The 10,125-nt window shown below is 35.6% G+C and overlaps 1 annotated feature.

Moving 5' to 3' along the window:
- Positions 9,371–9,880: an enhancer, noted in NCBI's record as "active region_22953". NCBI's record gives its function as "activates an Ori minimal core promoter by ATAC-STARR-seq in GM12878 lymphoblastoid cells {active_cell/tissue: GM12878}" and the evidence as "EXISTENCE:reporter gene assay evidence [ECO:0000049][PMID:35858748]".

Genomic DNA, 10,125 nt, shown 5'->3' with positions numbered 1-10,125 from the left:
TTCCCATTGAATTCCCAAAGAGAATCATTTACAAACCACTGTCTGCTCTTTGGGCCCATTCATTTACAGACCCTCCACTTCCGTTTTCCCAATGAAAAAGATATTAACTGTCAAACATGTCTTTTTTTTTTTTAGCCTTTATATTTTATATGACTTCCATTTGCATGTGTGCACATAAGTTTGTTATGCTTTTCTCTTTTGAACCTTTTTGTTATAGGGGTGTCAGCCATGACTCTTTATGATTGGGAGGAATGGGAGCACCCTCTTTCCACTCCTACAGTTTTCACAATGAAAAAAGACTCAGATATGATTGAAAAGAACAAAGAGCTGTGAAGCCTATACCATGTAAAATATGAGGAGCTCAGATAAAAGGAGAAAAATATATGTTGACACATTATCTAAACATTATCTAAACGTTAGGAAACAGGAACTAATGTCTTTAGTGCATCTTGGGTAGCCACGTCTAGAGAGGAAAAATCAGTTTAGTGACTAGAATCAAACTTTACTTTTACACTCTTTCACTGAGGTGAAAAATAGTGAACTAAATAATTTTGTTTTGAAATCCACATATTCTGTTGCCAGTTAATGAAATATTATTTGATGAGAGGACTTTTCCTATAAAATAGTAAGAAAATTTATGGCTTTAATTTCACAAACAGAGCAGATCATTTCATTGATTTTTAAAATCTCTGACAGTATTTTTTTCTCTACTTTTACTGTTTTTTTCTCTTTGAATTGCTGATGGGTTGATCTAATTACAAAGAGGTCAATTTCAGCATTTGGCCATATATGTACATATATATAATCATACAACAAAGTTTCTTCAGCTATAAAAAGTAAGATAATAATATATAGGTTCACACCATGAAAAATGTATAGAATTAGAACTCTGAATATTAGCTGGGGATAATGATAAAGAGGAATACTATATTTAAAATGAGTCATTCAAGTAATGCTATACAGGATGAGCTTCACAGAGACGTTACTTAACAGAGAAAGAAGAGAAATGGACCCAGGCATAGGAAACACTGTTCTGTTTCAGAACCTCTGAACATGTATTTTAAAAGAAAAATCTTCACCAGTAGTATATTTCTGTATTTGTATTCACCATTATTGTTGGAACATTCTTTTTTTCTTCATTTAGCTGGTTAACCTGACCCTGATGAATTTCTAGTGAGTCTATTTTAAGAGGCCTCTGTCAAAACCTCTCTCCTCCCATATCCACAGTAAGTAAAAGACAATTTTATATCAACAATACAGGGTGTTAAATGTTTCATTTGGTTCTGAAGGACTCCATAACATCTCCTTCTCAGCCTTAATTTGAAAGGGTAGATTATTTTCCTGCTTTAACTTGAGCCTTCCCTGTTAAGAAAAAATTAAAAAAAAAAAAAAAAAGGAACTCTCAAGGTCTCTTGATTCATGTAAATGTAAGTATTCACTCAAGTTGAAGAGTCTGTCGTTCCCAGCATCTTGAATAATTTTCCAGGGCACATTGTGCCTCTATCACTATTAGTTGATTAATACAATATGTCTTTACACGTAGCCTTTTTATTCATTCTCTAAATTTAAAAAGGGAAACAACTATGTATTTTCAAGCTGTTGAAGCTTCCTTCCTCTTCCATGTTCACCAATATTTTGAAAGTCACAATTCTATGGAAGCACTTTTAAGAGTAGACTTTAATAATTTATTAGGTAGCTTTTGGAAGTTAAACTTAATTCAAGTGCCCAATCCTTTTGTTTGTCGTTGGGAGAGGGTAGTTCTGACAAACTGAATAATTGTAATCCCTTTTCAGATGAAGTCAACCTAAAACTTTCCCAGTGATGGAATTTTGTAAGTTAAACTATGTCATTCCAATAAAAGTCTTGTCTATCAATTTAATAAAATAGCAACCATTCATTTATTATAATTCACTATATTAACTGTGTACACCTATCTGATACAATCTTATGTACATCTCAGGACAGGATCATACTTATGTATCTGTGGGAAATAATCCTTCTTCGAATTAGATGCTGCATTAGCCTGATATTATCAGATTTTAGACACGATAACACTTAGTTTAGAGTCATGTATATATTTTTGCACTGCATGGATATTACATAATATTGAGATTACATAATAATGAGATTATGTAATAATAATTATTACATAATAATGAGATTATGTAATAATTATTACATAATAATGAGATTATGTAATAATAATTATTACATAATAATGAGAGAAAACTGGTTTCTATTAAATGTATGTGAGGCAATATTGTGGTTTATAAAGGCATTTCTAAGATCGCTTCACATTCAGCTATATTTATTTTCTTGATAATTGTCCTGCATAGATTGATGTTTGCTATATATTCACTTACTTCTTTCCTTTTATGATTTTAATAAAACAGTTTCAAAAAATTTACCTCAATTCTGAAAGACAACACCATTAAAAAAGAAATTATTAAAAGGCAGAAATTATTGATTTAGGATACCAGATTAAAAGAATGAAATTTATACCATCTGACCACATAAAAAGTAAGCTGGTCTCTGCATACAAAGTGAAATAAAGAACTGAGACAAATTTATCTGCACAATAAAAGCTAAAGTATCACTTTTATCTATAATATTTAGATTATTTCTGTATTGTAAGATATTTCTATATTGTACTACATAAATAATTTCTCAAAGTCTGTCATATATAATGAGTTCCTAAATTGTCTTCCAGCTCCATATCTCCATGAGTTTATTTGAAAATGTTGATCCTGTTTTGGAGAAGTGAAACATGATAGGATCTAGTTGTCCATATATATATATAGCATAAAAGTTGGTTTATAAGCTAAGATGCTGAAAAATTAGAATTAAAACTTGTGGCTAATACAAAATTTAGCTTAAATAAATTGCTTCTAAGGAGCTGGTTACAAAAGGAAGATAATCCACCCATGTTTACTATAAATGAAACAGAGACTGCATTGATTGCTAGAAGATGATATACAACCTCTTTGCAGGCTGTGAGGCAAATCCACTTGGGAGTATCTTCTGTTCTGATAAGAGACCTTAAAGGTCCTTTGCCTGGGTCAATATAAATCATGGTTCTCATTCTGCTGGTTCCTTGTCTCTGCACCTAACTCCTCAACTCTTGTTGGTCTTTTGGTTCCAAAATTGTTGCTGCACTTTGGACTATTAAGATTATGCATTTTTTTATGGACAAGAGCTCAGCCTTGAACCTCTTGATCTCCTCCACATTGACCACTTAACTCATATGGGCCTTCATGTATTACTTGTCGACACATCTAATATCTTTGACCAATAGCTCCTAAGGACTACAAACAACACTTTATGTACTGATCATCATCTAGATACCCTATTATTTACAACAGGGCTTGCCAATAAGCACACTGGCATATGTTTTTCCCAGTTGCCAAAGTTTTCAATATTTATACCTAATTACAATGAGCTATCCTTGACAGGTTCTTATTCTGATTGAAAAACATGATGTCCTACACCCAGAATTATTTGTAGATATTTATCAGAATTCATGAACCAGCATTTGCATGACTTTGAAGTGTTAGATGCTGAGGCCAGAGAATGCTTATGTAATGATGCTTAACAACTAAAACTGTAACTAATGGGAGTTTAAATAGGTAGTGTAGTGACTGAACACCTCATTGCACTAGTAATATTTATTGATCTCACTATGTGGAAAACAACTTGGCTTTGAATCCTTGAGCTTCTAGAAAGGTCAGGAGGGACGAGAAAACCACCTAAGATCTGGGTAGTCACTGAGTTGTACTTAAATTTGTAAAATATGAGAAAATAATGATTGTGTCCTCCTCTCATAAAATATGAAAACCAAAACAAAACAGGGGTAGCAAAGTATGCTAAAAGTTTTATTGCTGCTGCTCCAGTCAGTAAGGCCCTGCCATTCCACACATGGAATGACCTGTTGTGATGGCCATTTGCAGACAAGATAGAAAAGCACAGGCAGAGTCATGTGGTGTCCCCTTTCTGCACCCTATGTGTATGTGGTACTCCTTCTCTTGGCACCTACACAAAAATCATTCCTGCGTAGCATAGAATTGGGTTAAGGTGAACTATTCTAAGGACAACATCCTGAAATCAAAGGAACAGATGTAGCAGCATTTCTCAAGTGACAGCATTCCACAATGATCACTTTCTAATCCAACCAGAATCTGTGTAGGCAGTTTCACTTATGTGTTTATACGTTACATGAATGAGTGATCTATTCCAAACTGCTTGTTCTTTTAGTATTTCTCTTTCTCCCTGAAAATAAAGAGTTGCTTAGGCCCAAGAGTTGACCAGATGGACTGCACAAAGGTGTGCTGATACCATTTGTGCAGTGAATGGAAGAGATGATTTCAGAGCTCTCCTATTCTCAAAGGATCTAGGCTTCCATCTGTTGGGAATGGCCAAAGTCAATCTTAATAGTCCAGTTTAGGTGTTGAATTCATTCAGTCACTTAGAGAACTCCCTATCAGGGCCAGTCTCTCATTGTTTTCCAGTTTTATATGACAATTTAGAGCCCCATGTGTGCAAAGCAGTTTGGGTCACAATAGGAAAAGTACACCAAACCTGCCCAAGTAATATCATTTTTGTTTTCTTAGAAAAGGGAAGAAAAAGAGGCATACTGTGGTTAATGTTTTCCTTAGGTGATAAATCAAGGGCAGAGACAGGAAGGGGACACAAGTTTTCTAGTTCTCACCTACAGCAATGCCAAGTAGTCACACAAAAGTTTTATTGCTTATGACAGCAGCCAAGTAAAAGAAGACAAAGCAAGAATCGGCAGCTTATGTTTTTACCATTACCAACACCCTTCCCACAATTGTTTTAAGCAATATGGTTTGATGTTAATCAACTCCTTAAAAGCCACCCATCTTTTTCTATAGCAGTGATTGTCTATTATTTTCTACAAACAAGTCCTTGCACAGTTTGACTAGGCTGGAATTAAGGAGGAATAGTAGATCTCCTCACCAATGTCCTGATTGCGAAAGTCATCATTGAGAACAGCCACAGGGAACTCATGGACCTGCCACCTCATTTGAAAGAGAATCTTTGTGTGAGCTGATGCACTCATGAGGAAATAAGGCTAAGGATAGGGAAAAAAAGACCAGGTGAAATATACATCCATGGAGGTTTGGAACCAAAGTAAAAGAGGTTTGCTCTCTGACAGCTGGGATTTATTCACCTCAATAACTAGGGCAGGGCACTTGGTCTTTTTTCCTCCCTTCTCCAGTTTAAGGAAGAGTGCTGGAAAGATAGAAAATTGGACTTTAATTGGAGTGGTTCTCTGGTTCTCCTAACACAGCCTCTTTTAAAAAATGAAGGCATGTCGAGAATAATTATTCTAGCTGGAGTCAACATCACCATGATTCATTATCTTAATATGAATGAAGCCAGCATAGTCAGGGAGAGGTGAACTCTACAAAACGGAGGGATAGAATGAAGAATACTGCCTCTAAGTCTGCCTGAACTTCGGGGAATTTACTTTTGTGTCCCTCCAGGGGACACCAATAGACTTTCTTCTATTGATAGTTCTATTTGACTACTAACTAGAGCATTTATTGGGATGATTATAGCAACTCATCTGTTGATTAGTGCCTCTTCATCAAATGTAAACATTCTTCTGAAGGTCAGGGTACATTGGACACAGTTCAGAGCACAGATTCTAGAGCCAGGCTGCCTGCATTCAGAGCATTCAGATCCCTGGTTTACCACTGAAACTCCTGGAACCTTGGCAGGCTACTTTGTTCCTTTACATCAACCACTGCATAGGACTCTTCTGAGGCATACATTAGTTCATTTGTGCTAAAAGTGAGCACTGTGACTTTGTGCCTGTCACCACCCTGCCCCTATTATCAGCAGCAAAATGTTCTGTTTAAAAGAGTCCCTCAACCTGTTACTCATACAATTGTATTCACACTTATTGAGAACTTACTGTGTTCTAAACCCTAGAAATTAGGTTAGCAGAATGGCTTTAGAGGTAGACAGCCTGGATTCAAATGTAGCCATTTGCACACCATTTTTCTAAGTTTCATTTCTTTTATGTGTAAAATAGGATGATAGTAATAACACCTAACTCTGTATTTTGAATGTAATATCAGCTAGCACATTTCCTCACTATTCCTCAGGAGCAAAGTAAGATTAGCTCAATAGCCCATTTCACACCCTCAGAATTTAAAAACACAAGGCAATTGTAAAGTAGAAAGAGGAAAGCTTTCCTTCTTGTGGTCTCTTCTACCTCTTGAACAATTGCTTTCAAATATGAGTTCCATACATCACAGTTGCATGAAACAAAATGAGCAAAACTCTGACTGTGCCAAGTATTTGTGTCTTAGAATTTGCCCAAAAAACTGCTGGTTATGGGATAGGAGCTACATGGCATATCCCACAGCAATCAAATTCAAAATCCATATCATATATTCCTGTTCTCCACATCTTTTGTTTGGTTGGTCGGGGTTTATTTGTTTTGACCTTCATGGGTCCCCTCCTGATCCTTTTTCCCCAGTGCAAATTTCAATCACACTCATCATTTTGCAAACAGCAGAGTGATAATTACCCAGACAAGAATCGTATTTGGATTTTACAATTAGTGGACAAAAGTATAAGGAGAAAAAGGATATTCTGTAGTTGATGGCTATCTGCTGCCTCCCAGATTGTCCTCAGAATACTACATTTAGCAGAACAACTTTGATCCCCACACTGTGACTCCCAAACTCACATACCCCAATCCATCAAGTTCTCACCCTACAAATATCCTTCCGTTCCACAATATCCTCAAGCATTATCATTATGAGTATAATTTTCAGATCATTTTTAGTGTGATGTTTGTCTCAAACACTTATTTTATGGTAACTGTCTAAAAAAGATAAGTGTAGATATAGAAAACTAAGTAAATAAAGTCTCCTGCTCACACTGAAGTCTTGTCTAGTAAGTTACAGTATGTTAGTTACATTTTCAAGAGTATATGAAACCATGATTCCATGCAGATAAATGTGCAGCCATGTGTGACAAGTAATCCTCTTCAATTCTACTAATCATATGTGCTTCTACTTTCTTGCAGAGGTCAATGACTTAAAAGAAACAAAATGTTCTAAATTTTTGCAGTGTGCACATCTTTGATTTAGGTGGACTCAGTGTTCTAAAAGTGCAATAAAAAGCACACCGAGGGTTTAACTTGACCTTGCATAGCAGAAGCAATATTGATTGATGCTATTCATTTCTTCAGCAGTTTCATGGCAGGTATGCAGTAGGTTTGCAAACAATCCCCTTAATCAAGTTATTGTTGGTATTAGTGTCCAGAAATTGAATCTAAAATGAAGTTGACAAAAGCTGTTCACAAATACATTTACTCAAAAAATTTAGATGAGAATTGGCTCTCTTTAGTTTAATCCTCCAGCAAACATTTATCCAGATGCACTTACTCCACCCTGTCACAGGAAGGAACTACTGATTGTTTCTGTGTACTGGTATGTTCTTATAATTAAGGCTTTGGGACTATGAGTAAAAAGCTGCCTGGTGCATTTAATTAAAGTTAGTAGGAAGCTTCAAGCCAAGCAAGCATTGTCAGTAGTACTTAGTATTTAATACAAATACACCCAGGTGCTTAGATATTTAGGCCAGAAGAAAGTAGAATGTTGTTATATTCAGAAAGGAACATTATACATTCAGTTATCAAATTCCAGACAAAGAACCATAGAATATGGGATGCTATGTGAATAGAAATTGTGATTTCATAAATTAGTAGACTAATCAACAAGCTAGAATAATTCAAGTACCTACTATGTGTTTAGTCCTGAGATTTTATTCTTAATTCTGAGAGTAAAGAGAAATTGAAGAAATATAAGAAACCATGTCTAGTCTGAGAGGTGTGACTAGAGAATGACAAAATAAGATAAAATTAAAAGTAAACAAAACTAATTGCTGAAAAGTGGCACTAACTATAGAGCACAATGGGAATTCAGAAAGAGATATCAAAATTAGGAGCAGAATCACCAGGGAAAATTTCATCTATCAGCACATGGCAAGACATCAAAAATGAAAACCAACTTGCAGGAACTGGTAATGGGCAATCTGGGACAATTTGAGCAATGTTAACAATTTGGACAATTATTACCAATTAATAACTGTAATAATTATTATTATAATAATAGATTATAACCCATAAAATATGAATCTATGGGTCCATACTAATGTAAATAAATAATTTTTAAAGTACATAAAAAAAGAAAAAACAAACAAAAAATAGCAAGTACGTGGGAGAGAAGAGACAGTTCCTTTAATGAGAGAATTCCAATTGATAAAGGTAGAAAAATGGTGGAAATCACAACTCATCATTTTGCAAATAGCAGAGTGATAATTATGCAGACAAGAATTGTATTTAGATTTTAAAATGGGCAAGAGTATAAGGAGAAAAAGGACATTTGCATAATTTTAGTGTCACTCTCCGCATGGCACTTAGTAATTGGAAAAAGAGAAATATTAACTTTACTGAGTTGGATGGTGTCCTCCCCCAAAAAAATTCATACCATTTCTGGAACCCAGAATGTGATCTTATTTGGAAATAAGGTCTTTGCAGATGTAATTGGTTAAATTAAGATGAGGCTACACTGGAGTTGGGTGGGCCCTTAATTCAATATGACTGGTATCCTTAAAAGAAAAGAGACAAAGAGACAGACACACAGGAAGATGTCATGTGTTCATGGAGACAGAGACTGTAGTTATGCCTCCAAAAGCCCAGAAATCCCTGCAGCTGCCAGAACTTGAAAGAGACAAGGAAAGATCCTCTCCTAGAGGCTTCAGAGGGAGCATGACTCAGATTTCTAGCCTCCAGAACTGTGACAATAACTTTCTGTTGTTTTAAGCCATGCAGCCTGTAGCAATTTGTTATGGGAGCCCTAGAAATCTAATACAGTAACTGTGAAGGAGAAAGACCTGTCAGATATCTCCCTTAAACAAATGATCAAAGTAAACATCATTCATAAAAAGACATGAAAACATCAATTACCTCCTCATATGATGAACCAAGAATGGCACAACTTCACTTTTGCAGTACTCTTGACAAAAATACATGACATCAATCTAGTAAGCAGAAAATACCAGATAATTCAAATTAAGAAACCTTCCACAGAGTGATTGACCAGTACTCTTTAAAAATGTCAAGGTTATAAAAGCCCAAAAAGAAAAAAAAAAAAAAAAACTGAGAAATTGTCCCAAATAGGAGACTACCGAGACATGACAACTAAATAAAATGCAGAATTCTTGAGTGAATTCTGAATCAGAGAGAAAAAAAAAAAGATACTAGTGAAACAACTAGAAAAATTCAAATAATGCCTATAGGTGAATTTAGTTTCTGGTTTAGGTCATCAGACTTTGGTTAGATAACATGTTATCACTGGGGGACCTGAGCAAAGGGCATTGAGGAACTCAGTATACTATTTTTGCAAATTGTCTAAAGTTCTATTAAGAAATTTGTGAATAAGATGCAGAGGGAAAATGGTAGGATCAGGCAAGATGGGTAAGAGAACAGATCCCTTGTTACATAAAAGACAGGCTTGAACAGAGACAAGAAAGGAAGGAGTAGAAGCCAGCTGGCCGGGTCTGTGTTGCCAGCAGTGGAAGGGCATGTCAGCACCTGCACAGAGAGCTTCTGGGCTAGGAAAGTCCCCAGAAGTCAGACGGGAACCTCACAAGGCTGCAGAATGGAAGCTGTGTAGAGTTTTGAGCAAATGAGCTATGTAGAGTTTTGAGCAACAGCTGTTCACAAATACATTTACTCAAACAAATAAGAGTTGGCTTTCTTTGGCTATCCATGAAAACAATGATAAATGACAATTTGTCTGTCAGGAAAATGCAGAATGAATTCTGCTTATATTGACTCTTCCTGTCAACGTAATTTCTTTCTAGGTCAGTGGCTAACTAAGGAGTTTGAAGGGCCAATGTTTCTGTCTGTGTTCAAGGGTGCTTTTCTTTCTGGTTTTCTCATTCCATTTTCCTTAGAGGGAGAATTGAGATTTGGGATAAGGACTGATATTAGAAAAATCACTAAATATCCCTTGTCAGAATAACGAGATTATGTCCTTTGCAGGGACATGGATGGGGCTGGAGGCCATTATCTGTAGCAAA

Source organism: Homo sapiens, chromosome 5 (genome assembly GCF_000001405.40).
Source record: "Homo sapiens chromosome 5, GRCh38.p14 Primary Assembly".
NCBI classification, from domain to species: Eukaryota; Metazoa; Chordata; class Mammalia; order Primates; family Hominidae; genus Homo; species Homo sapiens.
This window is presented reverse-complemented; position numbering and strand designations above follow the sequence as displayed.